Source organism: Homo sapiens, chromosome 4 (genome assembly GCF_000001405.40).
Source record: "Homo sapiens chromosome 4, GRCh38.p14 Primary Assembly".
NCBI classification, from domain to species: Eukaryota; Metazoa; Chordata; class Mammalia; order Primates; family Hominidae; genus Homo; species Homo sapiens.
Genome location: NC_000004.12, coordinates 185,557,949 through 185,574,661, shown reverse-complemented (window position 1 = coordinate 185,574,661; position 16,713 = coordinate 185,557,949). Strand labels below are relative to the sequence as shown.

The 16,713-nt window shown below is 43.8% G+C and overlaps 8 annotated features.

Annotated features, from left to right (window-relative positions):
- Positions 3,184–10,034: an enhancer, noted in NCBI's record as "VISTA enhancer hs2502". NCBI's record gives its function as "enhancer in: heart[9/9]" and the evidence as "EXISTENCE:transgenic organism evidence [ECO:0001131][PMID:17130149]".
- Positions 4,124–4,301: a silencer, noted in NCBI's record as "fragment chr4:186491515-186491692 (GRCh37/hg19 assembly coordinates)". NCBI's record gives its function as "represses an EF-1alpha promoter that drives an FKBP-Casp9 reporter gene in an ReSE screen in HepG2 liver carcinoma cells {active_cell/tissue: HepG2}" and the evidence as "EXISTENCE:reporter gene assay evidence [ECO:0000049][PMID:32094911]".
- Positions 13,847–14,691: an enhancer, noted in NCBI's record as "H3K27ac hESC enhancer chr4:186481125-186481969 (GRCh37/hg19 assembly coordinates)". NCBI's record gives its function as "activates a minimal SCP1, AML or CMV promoter by ChIP-STARR-seq in naive H9 embryonic stem cells {active_cell/tissue: H9 hESC(naive)}" and the evidence as "EXISTENCE:reporter gene assay evidence [ECO:0000049][PMID:30033119]".
- Positions 14,394–14,443: an enhancer, noted in NCBI's record as "active region_22264". NCBI's record gives its function as "activates an Ori minimal core promoter by ATAC-STARR-seq in GM12878 lymphoblastoid cells {active_cell/tissue: GM12878}" and the evidence as "EXISTENCE:reporter gene assay evidence [ECO:0000049][PMID:35858748]".
- Positions 14,594–14,643: an enhancer, noted in NCBI's record as "active region_22263". NCBI's record gives its function as "activates an Ori minimal core promoter by ATAC-STARR-seq in GM12878 lymphoblastoid cells {active_cell/tissue: GM12878}" and the evidence as "EXISTENCE:reporter gene assay evidence [ECO:0000049][PMID:35858748]".
- Positions 14,684–14,803: an enhancer, noted in NCBI's record as "active region_22262". NCBI's record gives its function as "activates an Ori minimal core promoter by ATAC-STARR-seq in GM12878 lymphoblastoid cells {active_cell/tissue: GM12878}" and the evidence as "EXISTENCE:reporter gene assay evidence [ECO:0000049][PMID:35858748]".
- Positions 14,684–15,538: a biological region, named in NCBI's record as "H3K27ac hESC enhancer GRCh37_chr4:186480278-186481124".
- Positions 14,692–15,538: an enhancer, noted in NCBI's record as "H3K27ac hESC enhancer chr4:186480278-186481124 (GRCh37/hg19 assembly coordinates)". NCBI's record gives its function as "activates a minimal SCP1, AML or CMV promoter by ChIP-STARR-seq in naive H9 embryonic stem cells {active_cell/tissue: H9 hESC(naive)}" and the evidence as "EXISTENCE:reporter gene assay evidence [ECO:0000049][PMID:30033119]".

Genomic DNA, 16,713 nt, shown 5'->3' with positions numbered 1-16,713 from the left:
TCTAATTTTATAAGTCAGAAACAGTACAATCTCAGAAATTTCTTAAGGTTCTATTTAATAAATCCATATACACTGGAATAAGATGTAAAAATTATTCACAAAAATGTTGACTATGGTCATATCTTCAGTGATTTATGGATACTTTTATTTTTCAAACATTTTACAACTAAGATGTATTTCTTTTAATATAACAAAAATCTTGTAGTGAAGTTAAATAATTTACACACATATCAGTCTAAAATATGCAATTTCTTCTATATATGATAAATATAAATATATAGCATATGTGTGTATATATATTATATATAACTGAAATTTATAGAGAGAGATAAAATTAACCAAATGTCTAATCCTTTTTAGTGTAATCCGTTCCAAAGATGGCAGCAGTCTATTAGGAAAAAATCACTCATCAGGATAAAAATGCCTGGTCTCTCCGAATAGTCTCCCCTCCTCCGCTTCCTTCCCAGGATAGTTCCCCGGTGAGTGGGAGCAGTTAACATCTTATGGTGGTGGGAAAACCTGGGCTGTTGGGCATGATGTCCTCTACCTCTTCTGGTCTCCAGGGCTGTGTCCCTGTTCCCTGGGTGTTTCCTGGCCTTCAAAGCTGAAACCTGAGGCTGGTGTCACTGGTAATCTGATCTCTTTGGGTCTGGGCAGGATTATCACTTCCTGCTGACTCAGCCAGTCAGCTCCCGCAGGCTACAGACTCCGGAATATCTGCCATGCCCTTCCTCCAGCCTCTGGCCCAGCCTCGCATCCAGGCTCTGCTGTGCGGTCAGCTCCCCTCACCACTCTGTGCACGCTGTGGATCCTTGGCTTCTCAACGCTGCATCCCTATCCTGTAAAGGTCGAGGGCACCCCAGAATGCTGAGCCCCAGAGCCCTCTTTCTGCCTGACCACCCCGGCTGCCCAGCTCGCTGTGATGTGCCTGAGGTGCAGACTGCTCTTGGAGTAACTCACCTTGAAGCACAGCCTCCAGACAGGAAGTCAAAGGGAACCTTACTGTGTGCCCTTCCTCTCCTTTTCCATCTTCCTGCCATCCCCAGGACCAGAAGCTGGCCAGGCCTTTCCTTACTTCCACTCTGTCCTCAATCCCTTCCTCCCTCTCCAGCCAGGTATGCAGGGTCTCCTTGGCTTTATAAAAACACCTCTCTGAATAGAGCCCCTTATGCTCAGTGATTAATTTGACAGAGGGTTCTAGAGATTATTTCTCAGGACAATAGCTTATGTCATTCCTTTTCTGAAGCACAGTATATTAATACTGAACATCACCCTGATCTTCCCCTTGGCCTTTCTCCTATAAAATATATACTTAGATGAATGCTAAGGGAGAAGAGACAAATGTTTTTGACTCATAAAAGCAAAATAAAGAGGCGGGTGGCTCATGCCTGTAATCCCACGTCTTTGGGAGGCAGAGGCAGTAGGATCCTTTGAGCCTAGGAGTTTGAGACCAGTCTGGGCAACATGTCGAGGCCCCATCTCCTACAAAAAAATAAAAATAAAAAATTAGGCAGGTGGCACGTGTCTGTAGTCCCAGCTGACAGGAGGCTGAGGTGCTTGAGCCCAGGAGTTGAGGTTACAGTGAGCTATGATTGCACCACTGTCCTCCAGCCTGAACGACAGAGCAAGACACTGTCTCTAAAAAAAAAAAAAAAAGAAAGAAAAAGAAAAATAAAATTATCTTAAGAGCTTGTCTTCATTATAAAATTATTTAAGAAAAAGAGGCAGCCTAAATATATACCTAACTAAAACAGAGAGACATCAGGAAAGGGAGAAGGCTTTGAACGAAGACTTGGAGGATGCTGAAACAAAGAAGAGAATTAAAAGAAACCAGTGCAAAATATAGAAAAAAAAATATAGAGATAAGAATTAAAATGTCTGATTTTTATTTGTAATATATGACATTTCTCTAAGTACTCAAGTTGCTTCAGAGAGCAGCAGTTCTGATGCACCCCAGCTTCCTGCCCTGGGCATGAAACTTACAGGACACCAAGATCAATAATCAAGACACCAAATGCCATCTTGTTCCGGAAAGGATTTCAGGCGGCTAACAGAGATAACCCGCTCTACAGAGAAAGTGAGCAGTAAATGTTCAAGAAGCTTCAAAAAAAGGGTGATTCGGCCAGGCGCGGTGGCTCACGCCTGTAATCCCAGCACTTTGGGAGGCCGAGACGGGCGGATCACGAGGTCAGGAGATCGAGACCATCCTGGCTAACACGGTGAAACCTCGTCTCTACTAAAAACACACAAAATTAGCCGGGTGTGGTGGTGGGTGCCTGTAGTCCCAGCTACTCTGGAGGCTGAGGCAGGAGAATGGCGTGAACCCGGGAGGTGGAGCTTGCAGTGAGTCGAGATCGCGCCACTGCACTCCAGCCTGGGCGACAGAGCGAAACTCCGTCTCAAAAAAAAAAAATAAATAAATAAATAAAAGGGTGATTCTTCTAAAAAGGATTTTAAAATCATAAATTCTCTAGTTGACAAAAACAAGACAGAGTTATGAAAAGAAAGAAATGTGGGAAATGACATAGCTCTGTAAAGAAAATAAACTTTGGTGCAGAAGGAAACAATGGTTTAATCGAGTGAAATGCAGCGGGAGAGCATGCGGGAGGTGACCTGGGCAGCAGGAAGCTTTCAGAAGGTGATTCTGGGGGATTTCAGAGGAGCAAGATGGAAGCCGAGAGCCAGCGGTGATCCTAGTCCCGGTGGGGAGAAGTGATCGACCAGATCAGGGCAGCAGGAGCGGGAATACACGTGACAGACGTTACAAAAATAAAATAAGCAAGACTTGGCCACTGGTTGGCTTTAGGGATTGAAGGAAGTGGTAGAGTCGGTGGTGACTACAAGGCTTCCAGCCAGGCCAACTGCAGGAATGATAGAAACAGTAAAAGAAATGGCTCGCATTTAGTCTTGCTCTTAAAACAGAATAACAGTAATATATTTTCCACTTACAAGTTTACTGTTATAAAAATATTAATAGACCTGAAAGGAAAGAAAGAAAATTTTCAAAATTCAAAAATTTGTACTGAGTACAAACTTTAATGGCAGTAAGAAGTACAATGTGTGTGTTTGTAACAAGCACTCTGAGTTAGAAAATACAGTTTTTCATTTCTTATCTTCAAAGCATGAAAGAAATAAAAAGGCAAAGTACTGACTTAACTGAAAGCACCTGATTGACGTGTGTCGTCTCACGTTGGGTTCGTACACTTTGTGCATGGCTTTGTATTTCCATAGTTGTCTAAGTACTTTTTTGCTTCCAGTGCTAGTCGAGTTGAATTCTGATTACCAATTGAGTTCTGTCTGAAGTTTATTATTTTAGTAGAAATAATGTAAAGTTAGATATAGCTATTACCCAACATGGTATCAGATTCAGATATTTGGAAAATCAATGTTTTATTAATGATTATCATTAATGATTAATGATTATCAGCTAGCAGTATGAGACTTTACTCACACTGCTACTCAAATGTGTGAAAAAAAAATGGTAGCTTCCTTATTTTGTTTAACCAATCTAATCTTTTTGCATTTTTTAACTGAGATATAATTCACAGGCCACAGCCCTATGACGTGTACAACTGAGTGGTTTTTAGTATATTTGCAAAGTTGTGCAGCCATCACCATTATCTAATTCTAAAACATTTTTATCACAAAAAAAAAAAAGCCCTGTACCCATTAGCAGTTACTCCCCTCCTCCTTCACCCATCCCCTGGCAACCACTAATCAACTTTCTGTCTCTGCAGATTTGCCTGCTTTAGATATTTCATACAGATAGAATCATACACTATGTAACCCACTCAATTGTCCCTGTGAACTCCCCGCTGCATGGTGGCAGTAAAATTTTACTTTCCCTCAAATTCAGTGATCAATATTATCTCAGATTTTTCCAGTTTAAGACAATTTAATTTTGGTAAACACTCATCAAGCTCCAAGTACACTCGCTAGCAGGCGATTTCTCCCCTCCCTTCTTCCTTCCCAAGATGGTCTGGGGATAGAGAAAACCCGTGGAGTCCTCCTGGCAGTGGTGGGAGTGTGGGCTGCCTTCTATGCTGGCCCCTGCAGGGTGTGGCCTGACGACCCCGGTCTCTGGGTCAGTGCCCCTCAAGGACGACTGGTCTCGACTGGACTCTTGGCGAATGACAGCTCCTCCTGCTGCCAACATCCAAGCTCATCTGTGCCTCCAGCCATGAAGATCACTGCCCATGGCAGTCTCCTCTTGCCAGCTCAGTCCTCAGCCAGCTCATGGTCCTCTCAGCAGCTCTGTGTCTGCTCTGGGGGTGGGCCTGGGCCTTTTTCCCCCACCGTATGCTCTGCACCTGTCATGGCCACCAGCATAGAAGTGAATGAATCCTTCAAAATTCAGCTGAAATATTGAACTCTTCGCCAATGTGTCCACCGTTTCCTCCTACTGCTTCCTCTGTGCTCTGGTAAGAAGATCATCTTGCTGCTACACGGAGCATTTTTTGGCTTCTATTCCAGCCCCTGCATGCATCTCATCTCTCCTACGTTATCAATCCCACCTCTCCCCCACTGCCCAGGTGGGGGCTTCCCAAGGCCACCCTCAGATCCTTGCCATGTACATGTTACGCTCAATAAATATTAAAATTAGTTGAAGTTGTGTTCTGTCTAATTAACTAGATTTCTATTTTAAAGTAACACCATGGGCATTTCATAAAATAATCATATGACAGAGATGAGTATAAGATGAACAGTACATCTCCACTCAGCCTCAAACAGTGCAGGGTAGTCTCTTGTTTGTAGGAACTTTTATGTTTTTCCTAGTATTTTACTCTTCCAGTTCGTTTTTGAATGAGAATATAAAGTATCTCTGAGTTGGGAAAAGAGAAAATTTATACGAGAATTTTCTAGGGGAAGAAGAGCAGGAAGGAATTACAGACAGAGTCACATTTGCAAAATCACCTGTTGGAGTATAAGAAGGAAAGAGGAGCCCGGCCAACCCCATGTATAAATTTCATTTTGAAGGCAATGACAACCCTGCTTCATCAGTTTCCTACAGACAAATGCATATCTCAGCTTTCCAGCAGAATCAAAATCTCACAAATGTCCCCTCTGAGGACTGTCTGAGCCCTGCCTTGCCATTTGTCTGCAAATGGTTTCTGACATAGAACCCAAACCAAATGACCAATCCAACACTTCTGGGATGAAAAAGAAAATTCAGAATGGTGACAATGAATTGGGAAGTTCAGATTCTGTGCTGTGTGTTGTGTTGAAAAAATTGACACTAAATCTTTTAATGTCCTTTTCACATCAAAGTTCCATGTGTTTCCTCCAGTCATTCCGGGATTCTACACACAAAGACATTTTTCAGAGAAGGGTTAGGAGAAAAGAAGAGGCAGGAAAGGCATTCTCTCCTACTAAGTTAGTGAAAAACCCTCTTCAGGCAGTCTCCCCAGAAGTAGAGGTGCTGTTGATAAACAGAGAACAAGGCCAGGCCCAGTGGCTCATGCCTGTAATCCTAGCACTTCGGGGAGGCCAAGGCAAGTGGATCACCTGAAGTCAGGAGTTCAAGATGAGACTGGCCAACATGGCAAAACCCTATCTCTACTAAAAGTACAAAAATTAGCCGGGTGTGGTGATGCATGCCTGTAATCCCAGCTCCTTGGGAGGCTGAGGCCGGAGAATTGCTTGAACCTGGGAGGCGGAGGTTGCAGTGAGCCGAGACCGCACCACTGTACTCAAGCTCGGGTGAAAGAGCCAGACTCCATCTCAAAAAAAAAAAAAGAAAAAGAAAAAGAAAAAGAAAGAAATAGAGAACAAAATCTCAGGCTTTGAGAAGCACTGGGATCCCAAGACAGGAAGCGTAGTGCTGAGCTTTAAGCACCAGGTCTGACCCAAACCGCCTGGATTCAAACCACAGCTTTGCCATGTACTGTGTATTTTGGACAAGGTATTTCTGCCATCCGTTTCCTTGTAAATCGGATTCGTAGCAATGCCTACCCGCCAGTGCTGTGTTGAGTACTGATATGTGCATAAAGGGTGCTTATAAGAGTGCCTGGAGCCCACTGGGCTGTCTGTGTGTCATCCTAGTCATCAGCACGGCATCACCCACTGCTATTCTGACCTTGTGTTGTGATCCTTGGCCAAGGGTGACATGCTCAGCCCACCTCCACTAGGCCTCCTTTTCAGTAGTTATAATTTCAGGGTCTTCTATGTTACCCCAGGTAACCATTTCCTTCAGACCGAAACTATGAAACGAAGAACCCAAATACCCATTTATATGCTGGCCTTAGATAGAAAGACACAATCACTTTCTCTTTTCTTTGCATAATGTTTTTCTAAACTGCAGCCCATTCGCCACCATCCTGCTCTAGGACCACACTAGAATGGAGGAAATTCTCCCAAACAAAGAAAGGTGAACATGAATGAACCTACCCCTGGCTTCTTGGTTTATGACACTCCAGCGTATGACCCAAAGGTCAAAGAACGCTGTTGTGAAAGTAGATTCAAATCTTTCTGTGTTTCGGCCCCTGTTAAGCAAAAGCTTTGAGATCCAAAAACAAAAAACAAAAAACTTGACAATCCTATCGATTTGTACAATGCTGGTGGACCCCTGGAAATAAGTTGTCATTGAAAGTATGAGGCAAACGCCTTTTTTAATGATTTCAAGCAATCTGTGGACCCACAATGCCAGGCAGCACTCTCAAAGGCCTCCTTGTGAGTGTGTGTGCCTGGAGGCTGCGGGTTGCTGGCCCCCTTCCATCGTCCTGCAAACACAGCACCATATTTGTCTTTCAGCTGTCACTATTTGTTAGGAGCCTATAAACAGAAGATTCTTTCTTAGCAACCACTGTGAAAAAGTAAAACCACCCCCACCCCCTCCAAAAAAAAAAAAGTCTGAAATGAGGAAAGAAAGAAAAATGAACTTTGCAAAATTACTTGTGGAAGTCACAATGACAATCCAATATGCAAAGTTTCAAAATTGCTGGCTGCCCTTGGTTTGGGGAAAAAAGAAAAAACTCTGAAGACGTTTTCAGAAGTCAGCTGCCAACAGATTAAGAGGCGACGAGAAATGATCTCACCACCATTTGTAGACGTCTGGTCACGCGGATATCTGCAAGATAACCAAGAATAATCCAGTTACGTGATTCGATTTCATTTCCTTGGAGAATGCTTCAGGCCTCATCTTGCTATTTTTAGCCTTGAGTGTCAAACGCCATGGGAAGCTCGTCCAAGGCTGTTCACAGATTACATGTTCCCCTAGAACAGGTAGGCGTTCTGGAAGCCAGAATCACTGACAAAGTGTCTGGAGATCGAAGCGTTAGAAGGAAGGAGAGACAGTAGGAAAATGGGCCTTTAGATTGGCAGCTACAGAATACCTTCACATAGACATCACCTCTCAGATAGAGAATTACAGAAAAATCATCAAACTGGTAAAGAAAGCATGAACCTTGACCCTAACAAAGAACACTGCAGAGGCCCTGTGGGAGTGCTCATAGCCACTTAATCTTTCAGGAAGTTTAAAATGTTTCTGGAGTGAAATCAGCTCACTCTTGCCAGCCTGAGAACAGCCAGTTTGGAAAACAGGACTTGTAGGCATGGAAACATCATGCATCCTGGTAACAAAACTCATTACAGGGTTTACTGGCAAAAAAATTGTGGAGAGTATCAGGGGTCAGGACAGGTTTGGTGCAATTCTGTGAGGCCAGATAGTATGAAATCCAAAATGACGATAACTAAAATATGCTAAGCTACAGTCATTAAATGGAAAGGATTAAACTTCTGTGAGCCAAGATCTTTCTCCTTCAAGCACTGCCTGTCTACAAGTATCAGGGCTGCTGATAGTCAAAACAACAGAAGGAAAAGATACCCAAACCAAAAATTTTTTTCTAATCCTATATTCCCACTACGCTCTTGAAGATAGATGATAAAGAGACATTGTTCAGAACTGAACTCTCATGAACAAACTGACAAATGTGAAAATATGTGTTATGAACAAAAAGACTCTCACATTGTCTCATTCTGATCTTCACAGAAGCCCTGTGATGAGGGCGTTATCACCGCAGCATGACAGATAAGGAAACAGGCCCAGGGAAGTCGAGGTCAGGAAGCCTCAGAGGCAGGCTCCCGGTCTAACCCCGGGGCTCATTCTCCCCTTCACCCAGTTGTCACCCCACACATGCTGTGCTTTAGGTGAGGATGCACTGATGGGCTGACACATCCAGATGCCAGGGATCATTCCGACGGTGCTGGGACTCCACCTCCAAAAATGCTATTGCAGTAGTATGCAGAGGTTATCAGTGAATGTGTTTTATTCTTACTATAAAAAGGGGAAACTGGGGGTTTTCTCTGTTCAAATCCCCCCCTCCCTCTGTCTCTGTATGAAGGAGCCGTTTTCTTCTTCCTTTCTTCCTTCTTTCTTGCCTAATAAATTTTCTCTCCTTAAAACCAAAAAAAAAAAAAAAAGAAAAGGAAACTGCTGTATATCATTTTCGTATTAGAAAAAAACTCTTTTCTTTGATCATAAAGTTTTTCCTTCTTTTTTTTTCTCACTCTCTTCCTTGCGTCTCCTTCTCTCTGCACTCTTCACATTCATTCACCTTACAATGGAGCCCCATACATTCTTAAAGTCCAGCTGGAGCTGAACTCCAAACTTCCCCGTGTCCTTGCTAGAGCCAGATGGTGCTTCAGTGACCACCCCAACCTTGCCTTCCTTCTCCCCCAGGCCTTCCCCCTGCACCCCATGCCAGCTGCTTTGTTTGCTGATAACGTCACAGGACAGGCAGTCATAGGCAACAACGAGGCCTCCAGGCAAGCTGGAGAATTGGTCACAGCCACTGCCAACTTCTCAGGACCCTCAGTCTTCTAGAAGCCTCTCTTAAAATGCCCAGAGTAAGTAACAGTGGAGAATGAAAAATTGGAGAAAGCATCATAGAGGTTAGCAAGAGTGGTGTGGCTCAACTTGGTGCCAGCCTGTGAAACCTATAAGCAGTGCTATGGTTTGAGAGCAGCAACACAACCATACATAATTAGGACTATGGTGGAAATTACCACATTCCAACCTAAGCCGCCTCCTCTATACAACTTTTAATCATTTTTTTTCCTTTTCTTTTTTCTCTCTAGTTGTAATTTAGATATTTAAGAAATAAAGTTTTCCCTGCCAGGATACTAAAAGTTAACCACAGCTATAATAGGTTAAAAGGTCCTTATGACTTTAAGAATTCAAATTTACTTTCCTAAGTGTTCAATTTAACATAACACAAGAAAAGAAAAGGAAGGGGAAATTCAAAAACTTGTCACTAAAAAACAAAAATTCTCCAGTATTATTTGTAATATACATAATTATATACATTTGAACCATCAATTTGCATGAATTTACACTTTTCTTAAAATCGACAATGCAAAATGTTGGCAAGGATGTGGAGCAACTAGAACTCTCATACACTGCCAGTGAGGATGCAAAATGGTACAACCATTTAGAAAAACTCTACGGCAGTCTCTTAAAAAGGAAACCACATGGCTGGGTGCAGTGGCTCACACCTGTAATTTCAACACTTTGTGAGGCTGAGGAGGGTGGATCACTTGAGGTCAGGAGTTCAAGACCAGCCTGGCCAACATGGTGAAACCCCATCTCTACTAAAGATACAAAAATTAGCTGGGCATGGTGGTGTGTGCCTGTAGTCCCAACTACTTGGGAGGCTGATGCAGGAGAATCGCTTGAACCAGGAGGGGGAGGTTGCAGTGAGCAGAAATCACATCATTGCACTCCAGCCTGGACAACAGTAAGACTGTCTCAAAAAGAAAAAAAGGTAAGCAAATACCTTCCATAGGATCCAGTCAGTCTACTCCTAGGTATTTACCCCAAATAAATGAAAATGTAAGCCTACACAGAGACTTGTACATGAATGTTCACAGCAGCATTACTCAAAATAACTAAAAACTAAAACAATCCAGATGCTCATCAATAGGTATGGATAAACAAACTGTGATATAGTCATATGAAAGAATAGTACTCAACCAAAGAAAAAAGCATGGTGAAAGAGTCGGGGGTGTGGACAGCTGATACATGCAACCTCACGGGTGACTCTTAAAGTCATTATGATAGATTTTAAAAGCCAGACTCAAAGAGTCTATACTGCATGATACTACTTGTAAAAGTCTAGAAAATGCAACTAAGTCCACAGTGACAAAAAGCAGATCAGTCAGATCAGTGGTTGCATGAGGCCAGGGACAGAAAGAGAAAAACTTCAGAAGGAAACTTTCAAGGGTAAATGGAAATATTGTGTTTCTTAAATTTTGGCAGTGACTTCATGGGTGTGTACAAAACTCAGCTAATTGAACACTTTAAATAAATCGAATGGTGCAATGTAAATGGATGCCTTTTACTGTATGTAAATTATACCTCAATAATGTTGATTATAAAATCGTAGTTAATAAATTAGGAATGTTTACATGTGATCACCATTCTTTTTATTATGAAACAATTCCCCATAGAATCTTTTTACATATCTAGGACACTTTAAATATGATTTTTATTAGCAAAAGCAAAGGAAAGGATTTCAGCAGCCTTTCATGCAGCCATTCCTTGCTCATCACAGGAGGCCGAGGTCAGTGTTCAGTGATGCCGCACAGCACTGGGTGACATATTTCTATCACCAATGCCCCTGGTTTCTGTATCCATCACTAACTAGGCTCCATTCTGGACTCACATGCTCTTCTTTAAGCAGCTAACACAAAACACACCAAGGAGCACTTGAATCTTTAGAAAGCTTATGTTTATAAACCAAAAATAAAATCCTAACTCCTCAACAGACTGAACAGACCTCCTCCAGGGCCAAGAGAACTCTGGAGGAACCTGAAAAACTGATTTCCTGGCCACGAAAGGAAAGAAGGCTAGGCATACTTCATCCAGCATACTCCGTCTCACCCGCTCCCCGGCCTTTTGGAGTTTAGGGAAAACTGACCAGCATTAACATTAAAATACAGATCATAAGACTTAAAGAAGACTGAAAGAAGACTCTTTGTGGCATTAAGATGCCAAATTCCAACCTGACTCTGGTATAGCACCACATAGCAGAGAGGCTCTGAAGAAAATAAAAATATTTTCTCCCAACATGTATTTACTTGACACATTTTGAAATGGTCCTGCAAAGCCATCTTTCATGGGGGAAATTTGCATCTGGAAAGAATCTCCATTTATGCAGCCAGGCCGTTCCCAGATCTAGAAGAGATTAACTAAGAGTCTGAAACGTTAAGGCCCTAAAAGGGACATTTGCCCTCTATTCTCTCTGAAGGCTGCTACTTGGAGGCTTCATCTAACTGACAAGAACCTTGGCTTCCACAACCTCCTCATCATAACTAAGCATTTCTTTCTGCTGTCTTCGAACCTTTAGACAAAGTTTAATTCAACCAATTGCCAACTCAATCAATTGCCAATTGCCAAATCATTGAATCCACCTATGACCTATAAGTCTCCGCCTCTTCAAGATATCCTGCCTCTTTAGGCTGAACAAATGTGCACCTTCCATATATGAATTTATGTCTTTGCCCGTAATTTCTGGTCACTCATACTGGCTCAGAATAAACCTCTTCACATGTTGTACAGAGTTTGTTTTTCTCATAAACATGTTTCACTATCACTGGTGCCAATGAGCTAATAATATTTTATCCTTGCTAAATATTTTTCTTCATTTTTTTTTTTGATACGGGGTCTCACTCTGTTGCCCAGGCTAGAGTGCAATTCAGCTCACTGCATCCTTGACCTCCTGAGCCCAGGCAATCCTCCCACCTCAGCCTCCAGAGTAGCTAAGACTAAAAGCATGCACCACCACACCCAGCTAATTTTTTTCTATTTCTTGTAGAGACAGGATTTCACTACGTTGCCTAGGCTGGTCTCAAACTCCTGGACTTAAGTGATCCTCCCACCTTGGCCTCCCAGAGTGTTGGAATTACAGGTGTGAGCCACCATACCTGGCCTATTTTTTTTTTCCAAAGCTGTTTGGCAACGTTCTGAGTAAACTTCTCTCTGGCTCTGGAATGATGTCATTTTTCCAGCAGCTCACCTCCGATCCTGAGGAGCAGGCACTGACAAACACTCCCTCCATATGCAGGGGGCACTCCCTATGAAGGCTCAGAACCAGAGGTGGTTCTGCTCAAAAGCACAGGACAGAAACATTGAAGAAAATGCTTTTAAGAACTGAGAACCGAAATTTTACCCTCAGAGCAGCAGGTTCATGAGTAAGGAGACAATGAGTGAATGTTCCAGGAAGAATTGTCACTTCATCATGAAGGCATCACCCTGGGGTCAGGAGAGAGACAGAACCCACTCTAGAGGTGGTGCTTTTGGAGCGAATCCCTCTAGAATCACGGTCATCGATACACAAATCCTCATGGCAATTGCAGAAGTTTCCCACGCATAAAGAGAAATACATGGAATCTAGTCAGAGAGGATTCTTGAGGGCAGACACAGAGACCTTCAAGTAAGGGGTACTATATACGGCATTCAGTCATTCCCTTCGTTATCCTCTCATAATGGAGAGTAAGGCAAGAGTCTGAGCCCTGGACACCACTGGTGGAGGAGATAGATGTTCCCTTCCATCAGCCTGTCTGTCTGCCTTCCAGCCACGGAGGCTACTGGGTGTTGCCCTGACTCCAGGCATCATTTTGCAACCATGAATTTACAAAGAGGCAGAAGACCTAGAAGAAAGACTAAGCACCTTACCATTTCTGTTGAAAGGCCGAAGATATCAAAATATGACTCATGAACTAGCATAACCCTATGTGAGACCCAAGGATGGAAAAGGACAATAGGGACACTCATCACAATGATGGGGCAGAGAGGTCTGAAGGATGGATTTGGACACAGCAGCAGGGCCTTGGCAGTGAAGGAATTGCCAGTCCTGGGGCAGGGTGCAGGTGACACTGACACCTCATTGCCCCAACCTCTGTCACAGTGTATGTGCTAAAAGGAAAATGGCTACTACACATAGGAGTGGACGGGATGTGTCACCAAGAGCTGTGATACCTAGATCCGTGACACCAAGAGCTGTGTCACCAAGAGCTGTGACACCAAGAGCTGTGACACCTAGAGCTGTGATACCTAGAGCTGTGTCACCAAGAGCTGTGACACCTAGAGCAGTGTCACCGAGAGCTGTGACACCAAGAGCTGTGTCACCAAGAGCTGTGTCACCAAGAGCTGTGACACCAACAGCTGTGTCACCAAGAGCTGTGATACCTAGAGCTGTGTCACCAAGAGCTGTGACACCAACAGCTGTGTCACCAAGAGCTGTGATACCTAGAGCTGTGTCACCAAGAGCTGTGATACCTAGAGCTGTGTCACCAAGAGCTGTGACACCAAGAGCTGTGACACCAACAGCTGTGTCACCAAGAGCTGTGATACCTAGAGCTGTGTCACCAAGAGATGTGACACCTAGAGCTGAGTCACCAAGAGCTGTGACACCAAGAGATGTGACACCTAGAGCTGTGATACCTAGAGCTATGTCACCAAGAGCTGTGTCACCAAGAGCTGTGACACCAAGAACTGTGTCACCAAGAGCTGTGATACCTAGAGCTGTGTCACCAAGATCTGTGACACCAAGAACTGTGTCACCAAAATCTGTGATACCTAGAGCTATGATACCTAGAGCTGTGTCACCAAGAGCTGTGTCACCAAGAGCTGTGACACCAAGAGCTGTGATACCAAGAGCTGTGACACCAAGAGCTGTGATACCTAGAGCTGTGTCACCAAGAGCTGTGACACCAAGAGCTGTGATACCTAGAGCTGTGTCACCAAGAGCTGTGACACCTAGAGCTGTGAGACCAAGAGCTGTGTCACCAAGAGCTGTGACACCAAGAGCTGTGATACCTAGAGCTGTGTCACCAAGAGCTGTGACACCTAGAGCTGTGACACCAAGAGCTGTGTCACCAAGAGCTGTGACACCTAGAGATGTGACACCAAGAGCTGTGATACCTAGAGCTGTGTCACCAAGAGCTGTGTCACCAAGAGCTGTGACACCTAGAGCTGTATCACCAAGGCTTTGGCCTCAGGGAGTTTTATTATGGGATGTTCTTGGCTGAACATGAGCATGAGGGAGCATCAGGAGTACGGAGTCCATTCAGTCCCCTTGGCCACCCCAGGGAGGCAGAGAGGCTGGTCACTGGGAGACCTGAAGGTGCAGGGTCCAGCCTCAGGACGAGAAGTACTGCCGTGGGCTCACAGTCTCCATCTTCCGAGAGAACTCTGAGGGCCTAACTGTGACATAAAAGCCATCACCTGAGTACCAGTGTGTTAGGCTGTTCTTGCATTGCTATAAAGAAATAACTGACACTGGGTAATTTATAAAGAAAAGAGGTTTAATTGGCTCATTGTTCCGCAAGCTGTACAAGCATGGTGCTGACATCACTTGGCTTCTGGGGAGGCCTCCGGAAGCTTTTACTCACGGCAGAAGGCAAAGCAGGAGCAGGCATTTCACACGGTGCAAGTAGAAGCGAGAGAGAGAGCTGGGCAGGAGGAAGTGCTGCACACTTTTAAATGACCAGATCTCATGTAAACTCAGAGTGTGAGCTCACTCATCACCAAGGGGACAGCCCAAGCCATTCATGAGTACCCACCCCCATGATCCAAACACCTCCCACCAGAGCTGGGTGAGGCCTGTGACTGCCAGCTTTCCCCCACTTCCCTGACAGCCTGCATGACTCAGCAGAGGCAGACATAATCCTCCTAGGTACACAACTCCAGCGACCTGGGAATCTCACCCCCATCCCCCACAGCAGCCACAGCAAGGACTGCCCAAGGAGAGCCTGAGCTCAGACATGCCTAGCCCTGCCCTCACCTGAGGGTCCCTCCCTACCCACCCTGGTAGCAGAAGACAAAGGGCATATAATCTTGGGAATTCTAGGGCCCCGCCCACTGCCAGTTCCTCTACACACTACCACAGCTGATGCTTTCTGGAAAGCACCACCTCCCAGCAGGAGGTCAAACAGCACAAAAATAGAGCATTAAACCACCAAAGCTAAGAACCCTCACGGAGTCCATTGCACCCTTCCCCCAGCCCCAATTGCCACCTCCACCAGAATAGGGGCTGGCCTATTCTTCTCTCCCCGTGGCTGAGAGACCCATAGACGGTTCACATCACAGGACTCTGTGCAGACAACACCCAGTACCAGCCAGGAGCCGGGTAGACTCGCTGGGTGGCTAGACCCAGAAGAGAGACAACAATCACTGCAGTTCGGCTCACAGGAAGCCACATCCATAGGAAAAGGGGGAGAGTATTACATCAGGGGAATACTCCGTGGGACAAAAGAATCTGGACAGCCTTCAGCCCTAGACCTTCCTGTGACAGAGCCTACCCAAATGAGAAGGAATCAGAAAACCAATCCTAGTAATATGATAAAACAAGGCCCTTCAACACCTCCCAAAAATCACATTAGTTCACCAGCAATGGATCCAAACCAAGAAGAAATCCTTGAATTATCTGAAAAAGGATTCAGGAGGTTAGTTATTAAGCTAATCAAGGAGGAACCAGAGAAAAGTAAAACCCAGTGCAAGGAAGTCCAAAAAACAATACAAGAAGTGAAGGGAGAAATATTCAAGGAAATAGATATCTTAAAGAAAAAAACAATCAAAAATTCAGGAAACACTGGACACACTTATAGAAATGCAAAATGTTCTGGAAAGTCTCAGCCATAAATTGAACCAGTAGAAGAAATTCAGAGCTCGAAGACAAGGTCTTCAAATTAACCCAATCCAACAAAGACAAAGGAAAAAGAATAAGAAAATATGAACAAAGCCTCCTAGAAGTCTGGGATTATGTTAAACGACGAAACCTAAGAATAATTGGTGTTCCTGAGGACGAAGAGAAATCTAAAACCTTGGAAAACATATTGGGGGGAATAATCGAAGAAAACTTCCCTAGCCTTGCTAGAGACCTAGACATCCAAATACAAGAAGCACAAAGAACACCTGGGAAATTCATCACAAAAAGATCTTTGCCTAGGCACATTGTCATCAGGTTATCCAAAGTTAAGATGAAGGAAAGAATCTTAAGAGCTGTGAGACAGAAGCACCAGGTAACCTCTAAAGGAAAACCTATCAGATTAACAGCAGATTTCTCAGCAGAAACCCACAAGCTAGACAGGATTGGGGCCCTATCTTCAGCCTCCTCAAACAAGACAATTATCAGCCAAGAATTTTGTATCCAGCGAAACTAAGCATCATATATCAAGTAAAGATACAGTCTTTTTCAGACAAGCAAATGTTGAGAGATTTCGCCACTACCAAGCCACCACTACAAGAACTGCTAAAAGGAGCTCTAAATCTTGAAACAAATCCTGGAAACACATCAAAGCAGAACCTCTTTAAAGCATACATCACACAGGACCTATAAAACAAAAATAAAAGTTAAAAAGCAAAAAACAAAAAACCAAAAGTACACAGGCAGCAAATAGCATGATTAATGCAATGGTACCTCACATTTCAATACTAACATTGAATGTAAATGGCCTAAATGTTCCACTTAAAAGATACAGAACTGCAGAATACATAAGAACTCACCAATCAACTATCTGCTGCCTTCAGAAGACTCACCTAACACATAAGGACTCACATAAAATAAAGGGGTAGAAAAAGTCATTTCATGCAAATGGACATCAAAAGCAAGTGGGAGTAGCTATTCTTATACCAGACAAAACAAACTTTAAAGCAACAGCAGTTAAAAGAGACAAAGAGGGACATTATATAATGGTAAAAGGCCTTATCCAACA